This window comes from Homo sapiens, chromosome 11 (genome assembly GCF_000001405.40).
Source record: "Homo sapiens chromosome 11, GRCh38.p14 Primary Assembly".
Lineage (NCBI taxonomy): Eukaryota > Metazoa > Chordata > Mammalia > Primates > Hominidae > Homo > Homo sapiens.
Window position 1 is genome coordinate 766586 of NC_000011.10, and position 23868 is coordinate 790453.

The window sequence follows — 23868 nt, forward strand, 5'->3', positions numbered from 1 at the left end:
TTGTGAGTGTCGTTTGCAAACATCAAGTTCACCCACTTGCCCCTATGATTCAGTCATCTTAGAACTGTGAAACCATCACCCCAAAATGAAATCTCATACCTATTTGTTCCCAGCCTCAAACAATCTATTTTCTGTCTGACTTACATTTTCTGGATATTTCACAAAAATGGTATCACAGGGTAAAGGCCTTTTGAGACAGTCTTCTTTCACTCACTCAGCATTCTGTCCAGGTCCGCCCACATCATAGAACGTAAAAGAACTTCCCTCCTAGCCAGGCACGGGGGTGTGTCCCTCCTAGCCGGGCATGGGGCTGTGTCCCTGCAGTAGCTGGGCATGGGGGTGTGTCCCTGCAGTCTTGTCTACTGGAGAGGCTGAGGTGGAAGGATCACTTGAGGCCAGTTCAAGGCTGCAGCGAGCAGTAACTGCACCTGTGAATAGTCACACTCTAGCCAGGGCAATGCAGCAAGATCCTATTAAAAATAACTTCATTCCATTTTAATAGCCAAATAATCCACCATATGAATATATTGCCCTTATTAATAGATACCAACAATTATTAAACATATTGACAACCCACTGTATGAAAACAACTTATCCATTACCATGAGCAGTTCTGCTGCGAACACCAGGACACCATTTGCATGCTGCTGCATGGTTTTATTCCTCATGGGTAGATGAACACACACTGGTATATGGGGAAATCCTCACCCGCCCTCCGCTGCTCTTCTGGAGGTCTGTCCTCTTGCTTTCCTCCTCTGCCCCAGCCTGGTGCTGCCCCAAGCCCTGCCCTGGCAAAGAGAGAACTGTGCACAGCGGGGAGGCTCTCCAAGCCAGAGGCCTCGCACGCAGCTGAGGAATGACGCAGGGGCCTGCAGGCAGCTCACGCGGAGACAGGTCTGTGGGGCCCCGCGTCAGAACCCACTTCACATCCCAAAGCCCCACCTGCTTTGATCTTCAATGCTGGGCTCAATGTCAGATCTGGCTGACCAGAGGGGCTCAATGAGGCTCACTGGCTCTTCATGCACCCTGCTGTGGCCTGAGCACGTCCCCCCAAAACCCACCTGCTTAAGTCCTCACCTGCAAGGGGATGGTATTAGGTGGGGCATTTGGGAGGTCATCCGGTCACAGGGCAGGGGCACAGCCTCATCATGGGACCATCACCCTCACAAAAGAGGTTGCATCTACTGGTGCTTTCATCTTGGGCTTCCAGCCTCCAAAACTGAAACTGATTTCTGTTGTTTATAAGCCACTAGGTTTACAATATTTTCTTTTTTTTTTTTTTTGAGATGGAGTCTTGCTCTGTCACCCAGACTAGAGTGCAGTGGCACGATGTCAGCTCACTGCAACCTCCGCCTCCTGGGTTCAAGCGATTCTCCTGCCTCAGCCTCCCAAGTAAATGGGATTACAGGCGCCCACCACCGCGCCCGGCTAATTTCTGTATTTTTAGTAGAGACGGGGTTTCACCATCTTGGCCAGGCTGGTCTCGAACTCCTGACCTCAGGTGATCCACCTGCCTCAGCCTCCCAAAGTGCTGGGATTACAGGCGTGAGCCACCGTGCCCGGCCAGTTTACAGTATTTTCTTATAGGAGCCCAAATGGACTAGGACATTAAGACATGAGCTTGCCTGTAGTCCCAGCACTTTGGGAAGCCGAGGCGGGCAGATCATGAGGTCAAGAGATCGAGACCATCCTGGCCAACATGGTGAAACCCCGTCTCTACTGAAAATACAAAAACTAGCTGGGCGTAGTGGCATGCACCTGTAGTCCCAGTTACTCGGGAGGCTGAGGCAGGAGAACTGCTTGAATCTGGGAGGCAGAGGCAGAGGTTGCAGTGAGCTGAGATCGCGCCACTGCACTCCAGCCTGCCAACAGAGCAAGACTCCATCTCAAAAAAAAAAAAAAAGGAAAAATACAAAAATTAGCTGGGTGTGGTGGTGTGCACCTGTAGTCCTAGCTACTTGGGAGGCTGAGGCAGGAGAATCACTTGAACCCGGGAGGCGGAGGCTGCAGTGAGCCGAGATCGTGCCACTGTGTTCCAGCCTGGGCGACAGAGTGAGACTCCATCCAAAAAATAAAATAAAAATAAAAAAGTACTTGTTAGCCGGACGTGGCGGCTCACGCCTGTAATCCCAGCACTTTGGGAGGCTGAGGAAGATGGATCACCTGAGGTCAGGAGTTCAAGACCAGCCTGGCCAACATGATGAAACCCCATCTCTACTAAAAACAAAAATTACGCCGGGCGCAGTGGCTCACGCCTGTAATCCTAACACTTTGGGAGGCCGAGGCGGGAGGATCACTTGAGGTCAGGAGTTCGAGACCAGCCTGGCCAACATGGTGAAACTCGGTCTCTACGAAAAATACAAAAATTAGCCAGGCGTGGTGGCGCACACCTGTAATCCCAGCTACTCCGGAGGCTGAGGCAGGAGAATCGCTTGAACCCGGGAGACAGAGGTTGCAGTGAGCCAAGATTGTGCCACTGCACTCCAGCCTGGGTGACGAGAGACAAACTCCATCTCAAAAAATAAATAAAATAAAAAGCATTTGTCCACAGAGGTCCATCACCACACGGGGATGAGAGTGGACCCGGGACAGAGCAAGGCCCCGTGGCCAGTGCTAAGTGGGCATCCTGACTAATCTGCGAGGCACTGGAGGGACGCAGCCTTCAGGGCGGGGATGTGGCTGCAGCGCTTCCTTCTTCCACTTTTTTCCAAATTCTCCTTATTGAACGGCTTTATTTTATTATTTTTTATTTTTGAGACGGAGTTTCACTCATTGCCCAGGTTGGAGTGCAATGGCGCAATCTTGGCTCACTGCAACTTCCGCCTCCCAGGTTCAAGCAATTCTCACGTCTCAGCCTCCCAAGTAGCTGGGAATACAGGCGCCTGACACCACACCCGGCTCATTTTTGTATTTTAGTTTCACCATGTTGGCCAGGCTTTTCCCAAACTCCTGACTTCAGATGATCCACCCACCTTGGCCTCCCAAAGTGCTGGGATTACAGGCGTGAGCCACCGCGCCCAGCCAACTGAACGTTTTTTTTTTGAGATGGAGTCTCACTCTATTGCCCAGGCTGGAGTGCAGTGGCACGATCTCAGCTCACTGCAAGCTCTGCCTCCCAGGTTCACGCCATTCTCCTGCCTCAGCCTCCCAAGTAGCTGGGACTACACACACCCACCACCATGCCAGGCTAACTTTTTGTATTTTTGTTTTTTAGTAGAGATGGGGTTTCACCATGTTAGCCAGGATGGTCTCGATCTCCTGACCTCGTGATCCGCCCGCCTCGGCCTCCCAAAGTGCTGGGGTTACAGGTGTGAGCCACTGCGCCCGGCCCAACTGAACGGTTTTATAATCACAAGGGGCCTCCTGGCAGGTCACTGGCACCAGGAGCCACGCTGGTGCTTGGGAACGGCTGTGGCTGAGACGGGGAGGTGGGCAGGAAGAAGGCCTTCGATGGCTCAAACTGGGGAACTGTGAGGAAGTAGAGGGCCTAAGCCTCTCCTGGACGCCCTAACCTGGGGCCAGGGGGCAGCCCGCTGGAGGGCCACAGCCCAGGCCAGGTGCCCAGCAGGCTGGACCACTGTCTGCTCTTGATAGCCGCTCTACCCGAGGCCACTGTGCAAGGCCGTGGGGGACAGCACTTTCCTATCATTGAGAATCTCATGGTCTCATATTCACAAGTAAACGTGCCTCTCAATGCTTAGGACAGGGTGCATCACTGAGGTGCTTACACTTTGAAACCACACGCCAGGAAGATTTCTTCAACAGGAAAGTGCTGCCAGTGCCGGTCGGCCTTGGGGCAGGAGGCTGCTGCTCCTAAAAAATTCCGTTCACCTTTGGCCAAAGTTCTGAGCCAGCTCCCGCCGGCTGGGCCCTCCCCTCAAGGCCCCCACCAACAGTGAAAGAGGTGGTGGGTGGCAGACAGGCCACAGCAGGGCAAACCCACACAGAGGACCCCCGAGCCGACTCTGTCTAGTCAACAGTGACCACACGTGACAACCAGTCCTCCCTAGAAAACCCAGCCTGGAATTCCCGAGGACCACCTAGCAGCTAGCACAGCTCTCCAGGCACGTGGGGTCTTTTCTCTGCCTCCTACCAGAGAACATGCAGGAGGATGGGGGTTTGGACCCTCCAGGAGAGCCGACACCCCCTCAGAGCTGATTCCAGGAGGCCTCCAACAATCCCATCAGGGCCAGACCAGGCTGCCATCCAGGGCCCTTGTCAGGAGGGAAGAGGCGGGGTCCCTGAAGCCTGAGACGGGGCTGCCTCTGGAGACACCTGGGCTGTCTCAGGGGGTGCATCTACCCAGCAGGTTCATTTCCTGCAGGACAGACGTGTGGTCAAAGCTTGGGCAAAAGCACCGGGTGCAGCTCTGATGTGGCAGGAATGTGCCCACCCTGGTGCCCTCACCGGCTGCCACAGAGGAAGAGCAGGTTCTGCACGGCCGGGACAGTGGAGCTGGCATTCTGGCCTGTGACCAGGTGGCGGTCCAGCACGACGTGGACAGCGTCAGGCTCGCTTGCTGGGGAGGACCGAGGGCACCAACCTCAGGCAATGTCCACCTCACCCACTGAGAGCCTCGAACTCCAGGCGGGCTCCCAGGGTCAGCAGTAGGTCAGCCTGTCTGGGTCTGAGTCAGTGCCATGGGGGTCTATAGAACCCAGGGCCCAGGAGGCTTCTCCCCCAGGCTGCAGCAGGGAAGCCCCCCACCCCATCTTCTGTAAGTGCAGGGGGCACCCTCGAGGCTCACCACTGAAGCAGGCGCCCGAATCCTTCACGAAGTCCTCCACCACGAGCGGCAGGCGGGCGAAGCCGGGGGCCCTGACGAGCTCACACACAGAGGGCTGCGGGAGCGGGGTGGGGGCTCCTGAGACAGGCCCAGGCCCTGCGGCCCACCCCAGGGGTCAGGAAGGTCAAGTCAGGGCAGGGAGCCTCACCCAACCAAGTGGGACCGGGGGTGTCACTGCTCATAACAGGGACAGCTGCTAAGGCTGGAGGGCGGAGAGATGACAAAGTCTAGCCATCTTCCCATGGGGTGTCCCTGAGAGCGACACGGCCACTACAGGAGGACGGGCCAGCTCCCCCAGCACCGGAGCACACAGGTGACTAGAATGAGAAGGGCTTGGTGGGGTGAGCCCCTTGGGCAGAGTGCTGGGGCGGGGCACCCTCTGGGCAGGAGTGAATCTAACCACTCACTCAAGGGGTCACGCCCACTTGTAACCTGAGACTGGGTTGGTGTCACCCCTCGGAGGGCACCACTGAGTACCCACTGAGGAAGGGTCCCCTCAGCAGGGGAAGTGACATCTGAGCTGGGGGCCAGGCCTGTTTAACTTCCAGTGAAACCAGCCTCCGCACAGCAGCCACCTCTCCCTGCCTCAGGGCCTGTGGATCAGCCACTCCCACAGCCGCCCCCAGTGTCCACAGAGCCCACTTCACAGCCTTTGGGCCTCAGATTGACAAAGGCTGTGTCTCCGAGGACACCCTGGCTGGGCTCTCAGCCCCTCCTGACTGCACACGCAAGTCTGATGCCCCTCCCTCCCCACGTCCCCTGGTGAGTGGGCCTGGGCTTCCGGGAGACTAGGGGCCAGAGGTTCGGGAGCCTCCGACCTCACCTCTGGCTGTGATGGGGGAGGACAGAGCAGGGAGCACAGCCTGCCTCGGCCTCCAGGCACTCACCCTGGAGCCTCCGACCTCACCTCTGGCTGTGATGGGGGAGGACAGAGCAGGGAGCACAGCGTGCCTCGGCCTCCAGGCACTCACCCTGGAGCCTCCGACCTCACCTCTGGCTGTGATGGGGGAGGACAGAGCAGGGAGCACAGCGTGCCTCGGCCTCCAGACACTCACCCCTGTCAGGCTGTAGCTGTCGAACACCCAGGATCTGTCCTCGTTGGTGGCACAGCACAGGGCGGCGACACCGTGGCCGACGGCGCAGATGGGTTCTGAAAGCCGTACATGGCGTTGAGGCCCTGGACCCCGCCACCCGCACCCTGAAGCCCCTCCCAGATGCCCCTGCTTGTGGCTCCCCCAGGCTTGTGCCGCCTGCCTGGCCCCTCCTCCCAGGTTTCCCTGGAAACTGGACTCAGCACCCGGGTGTCCTGGCTCAGCCCGCACAGCTGGCATCAGGAATCTGCTCGGGGGAGCTGGTGCTTCAGGACTAGGCTCTGGTTTAGAGCCCAAATCTCAGGTTTTGGCAGCCGAGACACACGCAGAGAGGAGGTCCTGAGGTTCCAGGTCTGTTTACCAAACCCTAGGACGCTGCCCGGCAGCCCCACTGCATAGCCTGGCAGGCACTGTGGGAAAGGCCCCTCCCCGGCTAGACAGGACGCCCCTGGGCAGGTGGGAGGTAGCCTGAGGCAATGCCTGTGCCTTGCAGTGGGGACATCCTGGCTCCATCCGAAAGGCTGAGTGTGTTCCCACGGCTGAGGTGGCCACAAACAATTGCTGCCTGTCCAGGCCATGCTGGGGACGGCGGCCCCACTCCAACACACAAAGGGTGCTGTGTAGAGCGCTGGCTTGTCCACCCCGGCCAGTGGACACACTCATCACAGCCCAACCCGGAGCCGGGGCAGCTGCCAGGTCTCCTCAAACAGCCTTCCTCCCTGCACCCCTGCTGGCCTTGAGCCCCAAGCCCAGCCCTGGATGCCAGGCTTTCCCAGAAGGAATCAGGCCGGTGTCCTGCCTTGCTCAGGAGGGCATGGCCACCCACCCTCGGGAGCCCACCCAGAGGCCTGCAAGATGGTCACCAGGAGACGACAAAGTCTGTGTGTGTCGGGGGAAGGGGCAGTCCCTGCCTCCTGCCCACAACCACTGCAGTGGCCACTGACCAGAGATCCAGAAACGCCTACCTGGAGTCTTCCCACCTCTCTTCTGCTGGTGGGAGACCCATTTCTTGTGACACTGCACATCCAACCCCTCCCCTGGGTCCCAGGGGTCACCTACTGCTCTCAGAGTGGAAGTGCTGCAGGATACGGGCCAGGGAGCCACTGCTGGCCAGGTCGGTCAGGGCCCCAGGACAGCTGGGGATCAGGAGGGCATGGTACCGGGCACCTGGGGGGAGACCACAAACCAGGTAGCAGCCACATGTCAAAGTGAGACTACCTGCAGGACCAGGCCCGAGTGCGTGGCCAGGACAGACCCTCCACAGGGACCAGCCAGCCTGGTGATGTCATCTGTCCCTTTTCCTCCATGGGCTACAGCTCCCAAGGGCCCCCCTGACTTTCCTGTCTCCACACACTCACCAACTCTCCTCCCCAGAGGGGCTCAGAAACTCTGGGGCCCAGGATGTGGGGCTGGAGGCTGCCCCAAATGGTCACAGGGCTTCAGGGGCTGAGCTAGGGAGCTCACTAAGACCCCAAACCTATCTGGAACCCTTGACCCTCCAAGGTCCCAGGCACCCCACCCCCAAGGAGTGGGTCCCGGGCCTACCATCGATGGACTCGAGCTTGGCGGGGCTGGCGTAAGCCTTGAGGCGGAAGTCTTGCACCCAGCGTGCATTGCTCTCAGTCACATCCACAAATTCCATGGCTTTCCCCTGGAGAAGCAGAGCCCAGGGGCCGAGGGTCAGCACCAGGGATATCCCTGTCGGCTCAGAGGGAGCCTGAAAAAGCTGACAAGGGACCCAACAGCATCCCCCTGAGGCACAAAGGCCCCCGACCACCCAGCCTCCTTCACGGGATCTCCCAGGGTCGGGGAGCCTGTCCCAGCAGCAGCCTCAGTGGTTTATTTCCTAGCCAACCCACCAACCAAAAATTTTTATACATAATAAATAAACAAAAACCCGCAGTGACAAATACATAATGCATCCTTACTATGACTTATGTACATCTGATATCCCTGGGTCCCCCACGATCAGAGGGTGGAGAATTCCTCCCAGTGGAAACATGTGCCCCTCACACCAGGGCTGCGCCTTGGTCTCCTCCTCACACACGTGCAGAAGCACAGACCCACAGCAAAAAGGTCTCCCTTGGGCTGGGTGCAGAGGCTCACGCCTATAATCCCAGCACTTTGGGAGGCCGAGGCGGGTGGGTCACCTGAGGTTGGGAGTTCGAGACCATCCTGGCCAACACGGTGAAAACCCATCTCTACTAAAAATACAAAATGAGCTGGGCGTGGTGGCGCATGCCTGTAATCCCAGCTACTCGGGAGGCTGAGGCAGGAGGACTGCTTGAACCCGGGAGGCGGAGGTTGTGGTGAGCCGAGATCGCACCACCGCACTCCAGCCTGGGCAACAAGAGCGAAACTCCATCTCAAAAAAAAAAGGAAAAGAAAAGGTCTCCCTCATCACAGATGGGGGATCAGAGCCCAGGAAATGGGGACTGGGACAGGGGGACGCCACCAGGGTTTGGTTACAGACTCTTCACCCCTCCACCAACTGCAGGGGCTCCCCACTCCTCCCAGGCCGCGGCGGCAGTCTCCTGACCTTGCCCCCGGAGAGGTGGAGACAGACCCCAAGTGTCCAGTGGGGAAGGAGAGGCTGGACTTACCCCAGGGGTGGCCACCTGCAGGTTGAAGGCGGTGCTGGCCATCGTGAAACAGTGGAGGAAGGACTGGGCCGACACACCTGCAGAAGGTCCCAGTGAGTGTGGGCTCGACAGGACTAGCGTGCCCCGCCTCAGGGGGCTACCCAGACACCCCCATGGCCTCGACTGACCCCAGAACACGCTGAGGAGCAGCCCTCTCCCCTACACCCAAGAACGACTACTTGAAGCCCTGGGGCAGGGCCAGCCACCCATTCACGTCCAGGAGAAGGAAGCTGGGAAGGCATGAGTCAGAGGGGCACAGCCAGGTCTGCCAGAACGGTAGGCCATCCCCGGGCCTGCATCCCCCATGGCGGGCTCTTTCCCCAGCCTGGCACTGTCACCTCCAGCCTCAGCCAGAAGCTGGGAGAGGATGCAGCCCACCTCAACTGTCCATGCCACTCCCACACCCCAGCCTCATCCTAGTGCTAACAGAGCCACGAGAGACCTTTCTGAAAGGCAAACCCGGGTGTGAGGGTCACAGAGTTCAGCTCATCCTCTCACTGAACCACCAGGGACTCAGGCCCTCAGGCACCATGGAGAACGCAGAAGTGTCCTGGCCCCCCCTCACCCCTTCCAGGGAAGCCGCTCAGAGGGACCCTTTCCTCACAAGGGTTCTGGGATTATACCCCTCCCCCGCCAGCTCTTCCTAGCATCCTTCGGCCCCTCAAAAAACTTTTAAAAAAGAAACTCAACACACCACACCCAATCCAGAAGGCTCTGGGGGCCTCTGTCCTACCAGGGGAAGGACACAGCCCCGCCCACCCTGCCTGCCGGAGAGCACTTACAAGTTTATTCCAAAGTAGCGTGAGCTGTATCTCTCTACATTTATTTTAACTCTGGGGCCCAATCCCTCAGCTTCATTTTTATCTTCATTCTTTTTTTTTTTTTTTTTTTTTTTTTGAGACGGAGTCTCGGTCTGTCGCCAGGCTGGAGTGCAGTGGTGCGATCTCGGCTCACTGCAACCTCCACCTTCCAGGCTCAAGCAATTCTCCTGCCTCAGCCTCCCGAGTAGCTGGGACTACAGGAGGGTGCCACCACGCCCAGCTAATTTTTGTACTTTTAGTAGAGACGGAGTTTCACTGTTTTAGCCAGAATGGTCTCGATCTCTTGACCTCGTGATCCGCCCGCCTCAGCCTCCCAAAGTGCTGGGATTACAGGCGTGAGCCACTGCGCCCAGACTCTTCATTCTTATATAAGTTAATACATATTCACTGTAAAATGTCCACTTATCGAGGAAAAACAAAGTGCCCAGTAGACTGCCGCAGGCTCTGTTCCCCCAGCTGCCCGCCCTTCCGGCCTCCTGAAGTGCTGCCCCCAGCCTGCTGGCGCTAAGACCCCACGTCCTCAACATGCCGGACCTCCTCACGCCTACCTGCTCTGGAAACAAGCCCCAACCCACCCCCCCAGGACTGAACCCCACTCGAGGCTCCTCCCACCCGCAGTCTGGGGGCATCACTCAGGACCCCTGGAGCTCAGCACATCGTGACGCCACAACCCCACAGCCCCATCTCCCCGTCCACACTTGAGGAGCTACAGACTTCAAGAGGCAGACCCCTGGGTCGCAACCCCGGCCCCCACCTCTCCGTGGTGCGGTGACCTTGGGCTGCTCACTTCCCTCTCCAAAAGGCTCAGAACAAGGCCAGGCACCCTCGTGCTCCGCTGCTCATCCCTCCCCTGCTGCCCTGAGACCCTGCAGGCTCAGCGCCAGGGGACGCACCCCGCTGCGCTCCGACCCGCGTGAGCCCCAGGCCAGTACTGCCCTGGTACCCTTGCCCCAGGACGGGGGCCGCGGGGCGCCTTCTCCAGGAGGGGGCTCCGGGTCTCCTCAGAAGCCGGTGGCTCAGAAGGTCAGGGTCCCCGCGGCCGCCCGACCTCAGAGCTGGGTCAACTCCCGGAATGGCCCCTCCCCACACCCGGGCTCCCCTCTCGCAGCGCAGCGGCCTCAGAGACCAGGCCCAGGCACGCGGCTCCCTCCGCTAGAAACGTCGGGCCCGGGCCGCCTCGCCGGGCAGACGAGACTCGGAGGAGCGACGCGGCGCCGGGATCCATCACGACCCCCCGACCCCGCCCCGAGCTCCATCCCACCAACCCGCGACCCCACCCCCGCCCCCGTCCCCGCCCCGAGCTCCATCCCGACACCGACCCCGCTCCGCCCTCCCCCGGCCCCTGCCCGGCGCCCCCAGCGGCCTCGGCCTCCGGCGCCACGTGACGCGCGCCCACCGTGTCCCGAACCTCCCGCCCCGGGCAGCCCCCTCGCGGACGCTCTTCGGACACTGGCCCCGGCCGCCGGGCCTCACCTTCGGCGGCGCCGCTGGCCACGAGCAGACAGGCGGGCCTGTTAGGGAGCCGCTCGGACGCCATGGCTCGGGCTCGGCGCTGGGTCTGCGCGTGCGCGGCGTCTGGGCGCGCCCGGGAGTTCGCGGGTCACGTGCCCTGGCGGCCGGGGGCGGAGCCGGGTGGGACTGGGCGCCTGCGCGTTCGTACCCGGTCCGGGTCGGCTGGGCTGCCCGCCGCTCCGCGCGCCCGGGCGGTCGCAGGTCGCGCCTGCTTTGGCCCCGGCGGGTTCGGCATCCGAGCCTGGCAGGGGCCAATAGGTAGGGTCGCGAGGGTCCTCCCCGGCCGCATGCGCAGTCTGAGCGCGCGCGGGGTAGGGCTCTTGGCCTGGGGTGGGGGCGCGGGCATCAGCAGAGCCAGGCGGCGGTGTCGGGGCGCGAAGGTGCCCGTGGTGTTCCGGTGGCCACACCCGAGGAGCAGGGGAGACCGGGGGGCTGCGGGGTCAGAAGCTCCGGGTGTCCCCGGAGACTAGGAGGGGGACGGCGGGGTCCAGGAGGCGGGGTGGGCTCCGCCGGCCCAGGACGGGGGCGTCGCGGGGAGGCCTGCAGGGTTGTGGGGCGTCGGGCTGAGCTCCTGGGAGGACGGAGTGTCACTTCCTGAGATGGGGACACCTCGGGCGTGCTGGCTTTGGTGAGGAGAATTGAAGCAGTTTTTCTTTTTTTTTTTTTTTTTTTGAGACAGGGCCTCTGGAGTGCAGTGGCGTGATCTCGGCTCACTACAGCGTCTGCCTACCGTGTTCAAGCGATCCTCCCACCTCAGCCTGTTGAGCAACCGGGACCCCAGGTGCACACTCCACCACGCCCAGCTAATTTTTTTGTGTTTTGGGTAGAGAGGGGGTCTCACTGTGTTGTCCAAGCTGGTCTCGAACTCCTGATCTAAAGCGATCTGCCTGCCTTGGCCTCCCAAAGTGCGAGGACTACAGGCGTGAGCCACCGCGCCTGGCCTGAAGCAGTTTTTCCTTAGACTGTAGTTGGAGGGGGTGAGACCACGTGGAGTGGTTGGCAGACAGGCAGGCACCCTTTGAGGCCAAAAGGGCGCTTGAGACAGAGCCAGCAGGCGAGCGGGCCGCCCAGGTCCCTGGCCCCCTGCTGCCAGTATGAAGGTCCCACCAAGCCTCTGCTCCAACCAGGGGAACCGTCATGGTTGGGAACAGCCAAGGTGAGGAATTCTGTGGGTCACACCCCCTGAAAACCACTGGCCTCCGCCGGGCGCGGTGGCTCACGCTTGTTATCCCAACACTTTGGGAGGCCCAGGCGGGTGGATCACGAGGTCAGGAGTTCAAGACCAGCCTGGCCAAGATGGTGAAACCCCGTCTCTACTAAGAAAAATACAAAAATTAGCAGTGGCAGCACCTGTCATCCAAGCTACTTGGGAGGCTGAGGCGGGAGAATCACGTGAACCCAGCGGGGGCAGAGGTTGCAATGAACCAAGATTGCGCCACTGCACTCCAGCCTGGGCGACAGATTGAGACTCCTTCTCAAAAAAAAAAAAAAGCCACTGGCCTCTGGCTCCCCCTGGCCCAGCCTGGAGAAGGGTCCCTGACCCCCGTCAGACAAGCAGTGCACCCTGCCTCACCTGACACAGAGCCCTCCCACCACAGGGGAAGTGGGAGCTGGGAGCTCCTGGTACAGGCAAGGCCGAGAGTTGGGTTAGGGAGCAGAGGACGGAGCTGAGTGAGTGTCCAGTGTTAGGTGGGTGGGGGTGTTAGTGGATGGAGGTGTCTGAAGCCTCGCAGGCCTGCGGTCACACCACAGGCTGGGCCTAGCCGCTTGGAGAGCTTTCTGGATCTGCACAGGATCTTGTCCCCCACAGACACACACTGTGGGCCTCAAACCCGGGAGCAGGAGGGGCAGGTTGGAGCAGGTCTACCTGCTTGCCCAGCCCCACCTGCACTGGCCCCAAGGTGTCCCTGATGGAGCTGAGCTGGACCAGCCACAGGTGCAGGGCTGAGTCTGCAGCAGCCCCCTCCCCATTCCTCTTCCCCTCCCCCAAGTTAGAACAGCAGTATGGAGGAGGAAGCTGGAAGCCAGGCTTGGCCCTCACGCTGGCGGCAAGTCTAATGCGTGTGTGTGCACCTGTGTCCACAGGTGGTGTGCCCCCTAGTGTACCCTTGGGTCCCCACCGTAGTCCAAGGTGTCATGTCTGTGTGTGGGCATCGCTGGTTCCCGGCACAGCCAATCCTGGGAAAGTGCATGTCCCTCATGGCATTCGGAGTCAGGGTGGCCAGCCAGGGCCCCACCAGCAAGCCATAGCATCAGCCCAAGGGCAGCAGCCAGCCAGGAGGCAGGAACCGCACCCGAAGTTCCTAGGCGTCCCGAGTCTCCTGTGGGCAAGATCACCCTTGTACCCTCACTGCTGAGCCCTGGAGTGTGGGTGCCCCCAGGTGGTCTGTTGCTGCTCCGCTACTCCGCAGCAGCCCCCAACCCTGTGTGCCCACCCAGGGTGCCGCCATCTCCTCCCCTGCAAGAGGCCAGCCTCTGCTCCGCGCCTCTCTATCCCCAGCAGGTGGGAAAGGGTGCTTCCAGGGTACTGCTATCTCCCCCGCTCCAAGAGGCCAGCCTCTGCTCCCCGCCTCTCTACCCCTGGCTGGTGGGAAAGGGTGCTCCTCAGGCCCTGTTTAGGGCTGACATTGGGCCAGGTGACAGGACACCTGGGCATGATTGGGCAGCTATTGGGGAGCCATGGGCAGAGCACCTGAGGTCTGCAGTCAGCAGCCCAGTCCGGGTGATGCCTCCTGGGAAGGGGCCCAGACTTGGGGGTAACGGCGTCACTGATGTGGGTCCCTGGCCCCACTGTGGGGTGTCCAGGGTTGTGCCTATTGGACCGCCCGCCTCACCATCCCACGCTACTGAGCCTCCTTCCTCAGCCATTGTCCAGCTTCGTGTCAAGTCCTGGCGTGGGGCTCACCGCCTGCCCCTTGACCGTGGAGTTCGGACGCGTCTCACAGTGAGTGCCCCAGCAGAGCAGGGTTGGGTGCTGAGCATCAGCAGCTCTGCCAGAGCAAGTGGCAATTCCCTGGAACCTGGGGTCTTGCCTTTGTTTGGAGACCGAGAGACTCACAGTGTGGGAGGGTCACAGGACATGTCATCAGCAGTGAAAAGGTTTTGTTCCGTTTCCTGCCTTCAGAACTTGCACGTGCTGGAATCCAAGGATGGGTGGGAGAGGGGCCGTTCCTGGAGATGTCTGCCCTTCGGGGCTGGCCCATGCCACAGGACCTCCCATCACCCCTGCTGCCTTGGTTGGTGAATTCGGGGCATGCTGAGCCTTTCCCTTGCAGCCTTTGCACTTGCTACTCTTCCCTCCGCTTATCAAACTCCTAACCATCCCTCGAAGTCCATGGGCACCAGAAGCACCGCCTCAGAGACTCACAGACTCAGATGTACAGATGTCCCTCAGTATCCATGCGGAATTGATTCCAGGACCCCTGCAGATGCTCAAGTCCCTGCTATAAAATAGTGTAGTGTTTGGCCAGGCATGGTGGCTCACGCCTGTAATCCCAGCACTTTGGGAGGCCAAGGCGGGTGGATCACCTGAGGTCAGGAGTTTGAGACCAGCCTGGCCAACATGGTGAAACCCCATCTCTACTAAAAATACAAAAATTAGCTGGGCGTGGTGGTGGGAACCTGTAATCCCAGCTACTCAGTAGGCTGAGGGAGGTGAATTACTTGAACCCAGGAAGCGGAGGTTGCAGTTATCCAAGATTGCGCCACTGCACTCCAGCCTGGGCGACAGAGCAAGACTTGGTCTCAAAAAAAAAAGGGCGGGGGGCTGTGCGCAGTGGCTCACACCTGTAATCCCAACAGTTTGGGAGGCTGAGGCGGGGGGATCACGAGGTCAGGAGTTCGAAACCAGCCTGAAACCCCGTCTCTACTAAAAATACAAAAAATTAGCCGGGCATGGTGGCGTGCCTGTAATCCCAGCTACTTAGGAGGCTGAGGCAGGAGAATCGCTTAAACCCAGGAGGCGGAGGTTGCAGTGAGCAGAGATCATGCCATTGCACTCTAGCCTGGGCGACAGAGCAAGACTCCATCTCAAAAAAAAAAAAATGGTGTAGTGTTTGCATATAACCTACACGTGTCCTTCTGTGTACTTTAACTCATTTCTAGATTACTTATAATACCTAATACAATGTAACTGCTGTGGGAAGAGTTGCTATATTGTGTTGTTTAGGAAATAACAAGAAAAAAAAAAGCACAACCACCCATGTTTGTTTTTTCAAATATTTAACATCCTTGCTTGGTTGAATCCACGGATGCGGAACCCATAGATCCTGAGGGCCGACTCTACCCCCTTCTGAGAACATCCCCCACAGATGGCTGCCCTGGGTGCCCTCTGTTAGCTCAGCCCGACTACCAGGTGGACCTCAGGTTGAGGGCTGGGACCAGGAGACATGGGCTTCTTTCTTGGGAAGGGGCATGTTGGGCAGTCCTCGACGTGGCCCAGACAGGGCCCTTTCCCAGCGGGGTCTCAGCCAGGTTCCCCTTTCACCAAGGCTGGGCTGGGTGGAGTCTGGATAGTTAGACCCCAGCACCTGTGAGTCACGCAGACCCAGAAGCAGGAAGCAGACAGTAAGTGACAGCCGCTAAGACGCAGGGAGGCTGGGCCAGGGCTGGGGCACGAGGGTACCTTCACCTGGGCGTCAGAAGCACTTGAGAGGACAGGGGCTGCTGGCTCTATGTCTGCCCCCCTAGGCTGGCATGAACTGGCCAGAGACGTCAGACGTGGTACATGCCGGCCTCTGTGGCCTGGAGGGGCTTGCAACAAGGAGGCAGGCCCTGTCCCAAGCTGGCCTAGCCTAGTGTCCAGGACATGGAGGACAGGGTGCAGCAGCCCCGGGGAGGGGTGGGGCCGTTCCCTCCCAAGCACACTTCTGGAGCTGCTGCAGTCGGGGGTGACCCTAACCTACCTTGTGCCTTCCTTCCCATGTGCCGGGGCGGGTCCCACACACCTCTCTCCTGCCCCGACTGGCTCCCACCTGGGGCACGCAGTTGGGCAACCCAGGCCCTGCTCTGCCCGTCGAGCCTCCAGGGCAAGTGCAAGCTCAGCCTGGGCCTGGAGACGGCGGATCGGAGCGTGTCCAGGTGCTCAGGGACTGGTCACCGAAAGGCAAGGAGCCCTCCCTGGGACGAGGGAGACACCCAAGAGTCAGGCCGGGACCTGCAGCGGACCGGGGTGGGAGTCTGCAGCAGAAAGTGCCCCCATGGGCCTTGCTCACTGTGCCCTGCTTCTGGAGGATTCCGCCTGGGACCCTGCCCGTGTCCAGGGGAGGGCCCGGAGGTGATCAGCAGCCTCACCAAGAATGCACTAGGGTGGGAGTCCCGGGAGAGGAGTCGCACCCTCTCAGCAGTGGGGAGGGGATGCTGGAGAGGAAAACAGAGAAACCTCCCCCTAGCTCACCCCGTTCTGCACTGGGTGATAAATACTACGTGCACCCTAGGAAGCCACGTGTGTCACTGGCTGCTAACACGAGGATGGGGGACTTGAGATGCTGGTGCAGGTTCCCAGCAAGGCTCAGAGCTGCGGGTCTCCAGGGAGTTCCCGCAGAGCCTGGGGGGCACAGCCTGCCTCAGACAGTCCCCGGACCCCAGACCCGTGGACACCTCTGTCCCCAGAGATGATGCTGCGCGTTGGAGCTTTCCTGCTTTTTTCCCGTTTTCCAGATTTCCTTATAAGCGATTTGACTTCACAGCGTGACCTTTTTATATACATTTTATATCTGGTATTTGTTTAGACCTTAGAAGTGTTCTGAGGCCGGGCGTGTGGCTCATGCCTGTGATCCCAGCACTTTGGGTGGCTGAGGTGGACGGATCACCTGAGGTCAGGAGTTTGAGACCATCCTGGCTAACGTGGTGAAACCCCGTCCCTACTAAAAATAACAAAATTAGCCGGGCGTGGGGGTGGGCGCCTGTAGTCCCAGCTACTCTGGAGGCTGAGGCAGGAGAATGGCGTGAACCCGGGAGTCGAGATCGCGCCACTGCACTCCAGCCTGGGCAACAGAGCAAGAGTCCGTCTCAAAAAAAAAAAAAAAAAGTGTTCTGTAATAAAAGTGAACTGATAAGTTCTGGGCATCCCTGAGAATTTGTTTTCCTTTCAGAAAGTTTCCTACACTACTGAGGTTTAGGGGCACTGTGAAGCAAAAGCCACGCCTCAGAATCCCAGGCGGAGACTCCGACCTCGTCCCGGGAGGGAAGCCAGTAGCTGAGCACCTGCGGGAGATTAAAGAGAGGAATAAGGAGGTGAGTACATGACAAAGAGCCACAGTCGCAGGCGGTGGGGCCTGGCTCAGAACAGGCTGTGCTGGGAAGCGGGAGCAGGAGCTGGCGCCGCCTTGCGGGCTGGCAGAGGACCATCCACTCCCTGGCGCTGGGGCCGTCCCATCTCATGGGCAAGAAACGTGAGACCCCTGGCTCGCTCCACACACAACCTAAGTGCCAGATGGATGAGACGCCTACGCGTGAGTAAATGCCAGGAACATGAGACTCGAACGTGGCAGGATATCCTTCTGCCCACGAATCTAAAAGCTTACTCGGTAATGGGAGAATGGTTCCAATTTGATAAACTCGGGTTTTTGGAACGTCTGTGCTCCAGAAACACTGGAAGGCAAGTGGCTGCTGACTGGAGGAGATAATTGGATGCTGCAAGCGGCAAAGGGCTCGGGATGCAAAACACCGCAAGAAATGCAACAAGTGAGGAGCATTCCCGCAAAGAAAAAACGCACAGGCCGAGAGCAGTGGCTCACGCCTGTAATCCCAGCAGTTTGGGAGGCCGAGGCAGGTGCATCGCTTGAGGACAGGAGTTCGAGACTAGGCTGGCCAACATGGTGAAACCCCATCTCTACTAAAAATACAAAAAAAAAAAAAAAATTAACCGGCTGTGGTGGCGAGTTCCTGTGGTCCCAGCTACTCGGGAGGCTGAGGCAGGAGAATCGCTTGAACCTGGGAGACAGAGGTTGCAGTGAGCCAAGATCGTGTCACTGCACTCCAGCCTGGGCAACAGAGTGAGACTCTGTCAAAAAAGAAAAAAAAAATTGCACAAATGGCACAAAGAGGAAAAATCAAATGGTGAGACCCAAATAGCCAGGAGCTTTCTTTCTTTTTTTTTTTTTTTCTCCTTTCCTTTTTTCCATCCTTTTATCAGCCATAAAAAGGAAGGGAAGGTTGGGCTGGGCACAGTGGCTCATGCCTGTAATCCCAACGCTTTGGGAGGCCAAGGTGAGTGGATCACCAGAGGTCAGGAGTTCGAGTCAACCTGGCCAACATGGTGAAACCCCATCTCTACTAAAAAATACAAAACTAGCCGGACGTGGTGGCGTGCGCCTGTAATCCCAGCACTTTGGGAGGCTGAGACAGGAGAATCCCTTGAACCCAGGAGGCAGAGGTTGCAGTGAGCCAAGATTGCGCCACGGCACTCCAGCCTGGGCGACAGAGCGAGACTCCGTCTCAAAAAATAAAATAAAAAGGAAGGGAAGTTGAATAGACTACAGCATGGGTGGACCCTGAGTGAAATAGGCCAATTGAAAGGACAGATGTTACACGATACCATTTATCTGCAATGCTAGATTTGGGAGAGCCATTGAGGCAGAAGATAGGTGGTGGGTGCCCGGGGTTAAGGGGAGGGGACGGGGAGTCCATGTGTAATGGGGACAGAGTCTCTGGAGGGATGACGCATTCTGGAGGTGGACGGTGGTAATGGATACGCATGATGCTGCTGAACTGTGCACTTCAAAATGGTTAAGACAGTAGATTTTGTGTTTATACAATAAACCCAGAAAAGATGTATGCTGCACCACAAACCCAGAATAGGTTTTACGGAGATTTTCTTGGTGTTTTTGTTGTTGTTTGAGACAGGGTCTGGCTGTGTTGCCCAGGCTGGAGGGCAGTGGCACAGTCATAGCTCACTGCAGCCTCAACCTCCTTGGCTCAGGGAATCCTCCTGCCTCAGCCTCCTGAGTAGCTGGGACCACAGGCGCACACCACCATGCCTGGCTAATTTTTATTTATTTATTTATTGAGATGGAGTCTCGGTCTGTCACCCAGGCTAGAGTGCAGTGGCATGATCTCAGCTCACTGCAACCTCCGCCTCCCAGGTTCAAGCGATTCTCGTCCCTCAGCTTCCTGAGTAGCTGGGATTACAGGCGCCTGCCACCAGGCCCAGCTAATTTTTGTATTTTTAGTAGAGACAGGGTTTCACCATGTTGGTCAGGCTGGTCTCGAACTCCTGACCTCGTGATTCGCCCGCCTTGGCCTTCCAAAGTGCTGGGATTACAGGCATGAGCCACTGCACCTAGCTATATTTTTATTGTACAGACAGAGGTCTCACTGTGTTGGCCAGGCTGGTCTCAAACTCCTGAGCTCAAGCCATCTATCACCTCGGCCTTCCAAAGTGCTGGGATTACAGGTGTGAGCCACCGTGCCCAGCCTACAAGGATTTTCATTCCTGCTTTGTCTGAAGTTGAAAAAGTTTTGGAAAATCTAAGCATCGTTTAATAGAGAATCGCTAAGTAAAATGAGGCAGCATCGTGGGTGGAATATCAGCACCAAAGCGCCAAGCCTTGTGGTTAAAGGTGGCAGACCATCTTCAGTCTTCTTAGCCCCTTTCAAGTCCCCTACTATATCAGAAAGGGTTGGCTGGTTGCTTTTAAAGCACGAGCCGCAGAATGGAGAGAATGGGCGACTGGAAGGCAGGCTGAGGATGGTGAGGGGCCCTGCTGGCCAGTCAGAGAGGTATCCTGGCACCTGTGGGGCAGGTGAGCTGGGAGCTGGAGGTGTGAGCAGTGTCTGCACAGAGCCTTCTCTGTACGCTGGGCTCAGATCAACGGGCTCAAGGGATAGGCTGCCTCCTTGACTTCTAGGAGGCAGCAGCATGAGTGGGAGTCGAGGGAGGCTGTCGCAGGGCGGCCTGGGTGGGAGCAACAGTGTCGGTTTTAGCTGGTTCTACCCCGTGGGACCTCCGTATCTGTCTGGGCCTGGGTGTGGGTGCATGAACGAGGACTGCTGCTCTGGGGAGGGAGTGTGCCAGGTGCCAGAAGGGCAGGAGGAAGACATGGCTGTCCCCCCACACCAGCTGGAAGAAGGCTTGGGGGAGGAGGTGGTCAGGGAGCTCTTGTCTGCTGGCCTCAGCCACCTGTCGGGTGAGACCCAGAGCCAGGAAGACAGAGCTCAAAGGAGCCCTTCCCAGGCACCGCAGGCCTTGCTGCTTGTTGGCCCGCATGCTGCAGCCCCACCCGTGGCCAGGCCCACCAGCAGGCCCGCCGGTTGGACACCTGGTCAGAGTGGGCTGGGGTCCATGGATGAGAGGTGTTGAGGGGAGCCTCTTCTGCACTCAGGATGTGGGGCTCGCTGCAGTGGGGGCTGCGGAAGGGCCCCTGCCTGGCTGGAGAGCTCAGCCTGAGAAGCAGGGCTTGCCCTCCCCGCACCCCATGTCCTCACTGCTTCCTGGTCCTGTAGCCCCTGGGTGTCCATCTTGGGTCAGGACCCACAGGAAGGCCAGGGAGGAGGATGGAGCAGGGCCTGGGTGGCGATCCGGGCCGAGGCCCCTGGAATAAGGGCATAGGAGTGACAGGGGGTCCCGTCAGAGGGTCCTGGATGCAGCATCCCTCCCTGGAAAGCCTGGGGTGTGGGCGTGACACATGCGACCCTGCGTCTCCCAGCCACATGCAGATGAGGATGCAAGAGCAGCCTTCAGACGACAGAGTTTATTTCAGACTCAGCCTCCACTCAGGCCCGGGGTTCCTGTGGCCACTGGCCAGTGAGGGCAGGCCACGTTCTCACAGTGCCCACCACCACCTTCTGGGAGTTCGCCTGCTGCTGCGCGCCAAGGGCCACGCTGGGACTGGATGTGCTAAGGAGGGGCTGCACGAGGGGCTTCCCCAGGTGCAGTGGGCTGAGGACAGTGTGTGACGGTCGCCGCCAAAAGCAGTTCTACTCTACCTGTTATTGCATTATACGCTGGTTAGACTCAGGTGGTGCTGGGTGCAAGCTGGAGGGGCAGTCTAGCGGGGCAGGGCGGGCACAGCTGTGAGGGGCCCTCGACATCCCTGCCTCCCCGCCGGCGTCGGGGCTCCCCTGGAGCACAAGCTGGGGAAGGCGACCCTTGGGCAGCACCCCCTCCACACGCAGGCTTCAGGGCTCCGTCTTCCCACCCAGCTAGGCTTGGGTGGTGTGGGGAGGTGGCATTGAGGCTCTGCTGAGGTGAGTGCCCACCCCAGGTCCGTCCCACTGCATTCGCCCAGGCAGACCCCCGGGGGGTACGCAAAGAGCAGAAATGGGGCGAGTGGAGCCACCGCGCCCTTTAATGTCCCCACGAGGGCCGGGCCCAGGCCCAACCCATCCCGGCACCCCCACCTGCACTCAGACCAGCCCTGGGGGCCCAGGATCACCCAGCCGCCAGGGGTGGGGGGGGCCACACACAGGGTCCATTCCTTTCTTGCCGTTCCCCAGCTGTGCCCTCGCCCCACATCCTGTGCTGTGGACCCCGGAGCCTGGGCTCTTTCTGCCCTGGAGGTTGGGGAAGTCCTGGGTCAGCAGGGGTGGGCTCGGGCGTCCTCTTCACCGTGCGCGTGTGTTGGGGGCGTATGTAGGTGTGTAATGAATGTGCGTGTGTACGAATAGGTAAGGGTGAACTCTGCATGCACTGGCTTCCTCGGGTCTGTACAGGAAGTGGCTCCGTGCCCCCCGCCTGGCCCCCAGGTATTATTTTTTCCGGACCAGGAAGGCCACACCGAGAATCAGGGCTATGGCTGCCACGGCCACACCCCCAGCCACCAGCAGGGGGTTGAAGTTCTCACAGGACCAGGGACCTCGGCCCCCAGGCCCCCCACTGGCAGCCTCATCTTCCTCCGCCCCGTCCCCAGGACCCTTGGGCTCCGGGGTTGCATCGGGACTGCTGGGGACCGTGGGGGCTGGCTTCAGGTTGCTGTGGTTGTTGAGAAGGGCAGGGTCGGCCTTGGCCGAGGTCTTCTTGGCAGGTGCCGTGGTGGGGGCTGCTGGCGGCTGCTGCTTCTCGGCCGGGGCCTCCTTCTTCGAGGGCTTGGTCAAGGGGGCTTTCCCATCGGCTGCCGGGGGTACCTTGGCCTCGGTGGTGACCTGGGGCACCTTGGTGTCGGGCTTGGGGCTGCTGGCTGACTTCCCTCTGGACTCCATGGTGGGCGGGGCGTATGGGACAGGCAGGTGGCTGCACCAGAGGGGCTCAGGACAGTTTGTCGCCCCTGGGCATTCTATGGGCCTGGAGGGAGACACAAGGGAGGCTGCGCGCGGGTCCAGTCCCCCCTGTGCTGCCCCGACCACCTGGTCCCCAGGCAGCCCCTGCCCAGTTCTCTGGACTCTCTGGAGCCCCAGCTCAGGGGCCTCCCGTGGGCCTCTGACACTTCTCTTTCACGGCCTGGACTCCATCTGTCCATGACCACTCCTCAAGGGGCCCCTCCAGCCGCAGAGGCAAGGGCCACGCACAGGTGGGAGGAGGTAGGGGACCCCACTGTGCTCCATAAAATGGCCCATGCAAATGCCACATCCTCCCACCAGCCGGGGGCAGGAGGCTCTTGGTGGGGAAGTAAGGATCAGGCCCAGAGAACTCGAAGGAAGAGCATTCTCCCCTCCAAGGAGGTGATCGGAGCCCCAGTGGGAGAGCTGACTGCATCCCCTCCTCAGGAGAGCATTCCTGCTTTGCAGAGATGGACACTAAAGCACGGAGGCTGTGACCTGGCCAGGGTCCCAGGGGGAGGAGGGCGGGGAGGGGCAGGAGCTGGGATCTCAGGCAGCCATCAGGGTGGGTGGGCCCACAAGAACCCAGACTTGAGAAAACTGGGGTGTCTCTCCAGGAAGTCAGCGTGGGGCTGTGCTTCCAAGGGCCGTCTGCCCCTCCCCAGCCTCTGGGGCCCCCTCCTCAGCATGGGCCGTGCCTGCCTCCAGCCCTGGAGCAGGGAGTCCTCGCCCAGCCCAAGGCTGTGCTGTCTCTGTGGGCAGAGGGTTCCTGGCGTTAAACAGGGTGGGCACATGCTGCACTTGGCCCGCGGGTCAGGGCGGAGGACAGGGTTCTGGGCTGTGGGAAAGGCGGTGCCCAGATTCTCAATGACCGAGGCAGAGGTGGGAAGGGCCCTGGGGGCCCAGCCGCCCTGAACCTGAGTGGGTCTTGCCCCAAAGCCCCAGAGGCCGCCTGTCTGCCTCTCCCAGGGAAGGATGAGAAATGCCCTCCAGACCTGCAGAGAAAGGGAGGCACGTTCCCCACCCCCCGCCAGGTGCATTGACCACACTGAAGGTCACCCGAAGGTCACAGCATGATGAGGGCGTCTCCAGAAGAGGCCCAGCTGCTGCCACCTCCCAGGGAAGCCCAGCCGTCCCTTCACCCCTGCAGTTCTCGGGGGGCTCAGCTGCTGGGCATCAAGTTTGCAAAGAGCAGGTGGTCTGCCCCCCCAACCTCGCTATTTGTGGCACTTACATCCCGGCCGCCGCCTCCCTCTCCCGGGATCAACTGAGCCCTGGAGAACTGGGGGGCCCGCGCGCAAACCCAGTGACCTTCAAGGCCCGGAGCCGCCTCCTCGCCCCGCAGGACGCCGCGCCCGCCCCGCCCGCCCCGCCCGCCGGGAGCCCCCCGCCTTACGCGTCCTCCGGCCTCCCCGGGGCTGCGCGCTCCTCCGCGGGATGACGGCGGCTGCGAACGCGGAGGAGAGCTCGGGAGTTTCCCACAATGCACTGCTCCCGGCGCAGGAGGGCGGGGAGGGGGAGGGGCGACCGGGCCCCGCCCCGCCGGGAACCGTGGGATCCGCAAACCCAGCTCCGCCTTAGATCCAGGGGTAGAAACTTAGGGTCCGAGAGAGCAACTGCGGGGTCCAAGTCCCATCTGGGACTGCCAGAGGCAGGAGGCGGGTCCCGCTCAGCATCCCCTCTAGGCCAGGGTGCCCCTTGGTCGGTGGGTGACGGGTCGGTGGGTGAGGGGTCGGTGGGTGGGTGCGCAGGCCTAGCCCTGCAGTCTGAAGGGAGCCAGTTATGGGAAGAGGGGACTGCCCTCCCCCGCCCCCAAACAG

The 23868-nt window shown here is 59.9% G+C and overlaps 3 protein-coding genes and 1 long non-coding RNA gene across 19 annotated transcripts, besides 6 other annotated features; 2 read left to right on the top strand and 2 right to left on the bottom strand.

The window, feature by feature from the left end:
• Positions 637–10902, bottom strand: GATD1 (glutamine amidotransferase class 1 domain containing 1). 15 transcript variants are annotated; one of them, NR_134868.2, is made up of 8 exons: positions 10814–10902; positions 8481–8557; positions 7423–7528; positions 6843–7044; positions 5842–5936; positions 4748–4841; positions 4408–4519; positions 637–4318 (listed from the first exon to the last, which is right to left on the bottom strand). NR_134868.2 is itself a non-coding variant. In NM_182612.4 (8 exons), the coding sequence occupies exons 1-8, from the start codon at positions 10875–10877 to the stop codon at positions 4312–4314; spliced, it is 663 nt and encodes a 220-aa protein (NP_872418.1). In that variant the 5' UTR covers positions 10878–10902; the 3' UTR covers positions 637–4311. The 15 variants fall into 15 exon arrangements, 12 of the variants coding, with proteins under 12 accessions (NP_872418.1, NP_001305747.1, NP_001305753.1 ...); NM_182612.4 differs by having other exon boundaries at positions 6937–7044; NR_134867.2 differs by lacking the exon at positions 8481–8557 and having other exon boundaries at positions 4408–4627; positions 6937–7044.
• Positions 10323–10532: a silencer, noted in NCBI's record as "silent region_3026". NCBI's record gives its function as "represses an Ori minimal core promoter by ATAC-STARR-seq in GM12878 lymphoblastoid cells {active_cell/tissue: GM12878}" and the evidence as "EXISTENCE:reporter gene assay evidence [ECO:0000049][PMID:35858748]".
• Positions 10543–11252: a silencer, noted in NCBI's record as "silent region_3027". NCBI's record gives its function as "represses an Ori minimal core promoter by ATAC-STARR-seq in GM12878 lymphoblastoid cells {active_cell/tissue: GM12878}" and the evidence as "EXISTENCE:reporter gene assay evidence [ECO:0000049][PMID:35858748]".
• On the top strand, positions 10993–15050 carry LOC124900301 (uncharacterized). Its single transcript, XM_047427954.1, has 2 exons — positions 10993–11110; positions 11532–15050. Exon 2 carries the CDS (start codon positions 13578–13580, stop codon positions 14094–14096), a length of 519 nt encoding a protein of 172 aa, XP_047283910.1. The 5' UTR covers positions 10993–11110; positions 11532–13577; the 3' UTR covers positions 14097–15050.
• GATD1-DT (GATD1 divergent transcript) lies at positions 10993–17712 on the top strand. 2 transcript variants are annotated; one of them, NR_126342.1, is made up of 4 exons: positions 10993–11110; positions 11528–11633; positions 16945–17086; positions 17439–17712. It is a non-coding gene; the product is annotated as a GATD1 divergent transcript (long non-coding RNA). The 2 variants fall into 2 exon arrangements; NR_126343.1 differs by lacking the exon at positions 11528–11633 and having other exon boundaries at positions 16945–17712.
• Positions 11303–11402: a silencer, noted in NCBI's record as "silent region_3028". NCBI's record gives its function as "represses an Ori minimal core promoter by ATAC-STARR-seq in GM12878 lymphoblastoid cells {active_cell/tissue: GM12878}" and the evidence as "EXISTENCE:reporter gene assay evidence [ECO:0000049][PMID:35858748]".
• Positions 16522–17209: an enhancer, noted in NCBI's record as "NANOG-H3K4me1 hESC enhancer chr11:783107-783794 (GRCh37/hg19 assembly coordinates)". NCBI's record gives its function as "activates a minimal SCP1, AML or CMV promoter by ChIP-STARR-seq in primed H9 embryonic stem cells {active_cell/tissue: H9 hESC(primed)}" and the evidence as "EXISTENCE:reporter gene assay evidence [ECO:0000049][PMID:30033119]".
• Positions 17210–17897: an enhancer, noted in NCBI's record as "NANOG-H3K4me1 hESC enhancer chr11:783795-784482 (GRCh37/hg19 assembly coordinates)". NCBI's record gives its function as "activates a minimal SCP1, AML or CMV promoter by ChIP-STARR-seq in primed H9 embryonic stem cells {active_cell/tissue: H9 hESC(primed)}" and the evidence as "EXISTENCE:reporter gene assay evidence [ECO:0000049][PMID:30033119]".
• Positions 20530–23505, bottom strand: CEND1 (cell cycle exit and neuronal differentiation 1). Its single transcript, NM_016564.4, has 2 exons — positions 23445–23505; positions 20530–22073 (listed from the first exon to the last, which is right to left on the bottom strand). Exon 2 carries the CDS (start codon positions 21989–21991, stop codon positions 21542–21544), a length of 450 nt encoding a protein of 149 aa, NP_057648.2. The 5' UTR covers positions 21992–22073; positions 23445–23505; the 3' UTR covers positions 20530–21541.
• Positions 23416–23645: a silencer, noted in NCBI's record as "silent region_3029". NCBI's record gives its function as "represses an Ori minimal core promoter by ATAC-STARR-seq in GM12878 lymphoblastoid cells {active_cell/tissue: GM12878}" and the evidence as "EXISTENCE:reporter gene assay evidence [ECO:0000049][PMID:35858748]".

Bases quoted from the DNA above. Each gene is read 5' to 3' on its own strand.
- GATD1 (NM_182612.4), bottom strand. From the start codon at position 10,877: ATGGCGTCCGAGCGGCTCCCTAACAGGCCCGCCTGTCTGCTCGTGGCC. The intron at 8,558-10,813 runs GTGAGGCCCGGC...GACCTTCTGCAG, and splicing joins GGCCAGCGGCGCCGCCGAAG to GTGTGTCGGCCCAGTCCTTC. The intron at 4,842-5,841 runs GTGAGTGTCTGG...CCGCTCCCGCAG, and splicing joins ACAGCTACAGCCTGACAGGG to CCCTCTGTGTGTGAGCTCGT.
- LOC124900301 (XM_047427954.1), top strand. From the start codon at position 13,578: ATGCCTCCTGGGAAGGGGCCCAGACTTGGGGGTAACGGCGTCACTGAT.
- CEND1 (NM_016564.4), bottom strand. From the start codon at position 21,991: ATGGAGTCCAGAGGGAAGTCAGCCAGCAGCCCCAAGCCCGACACCAAG.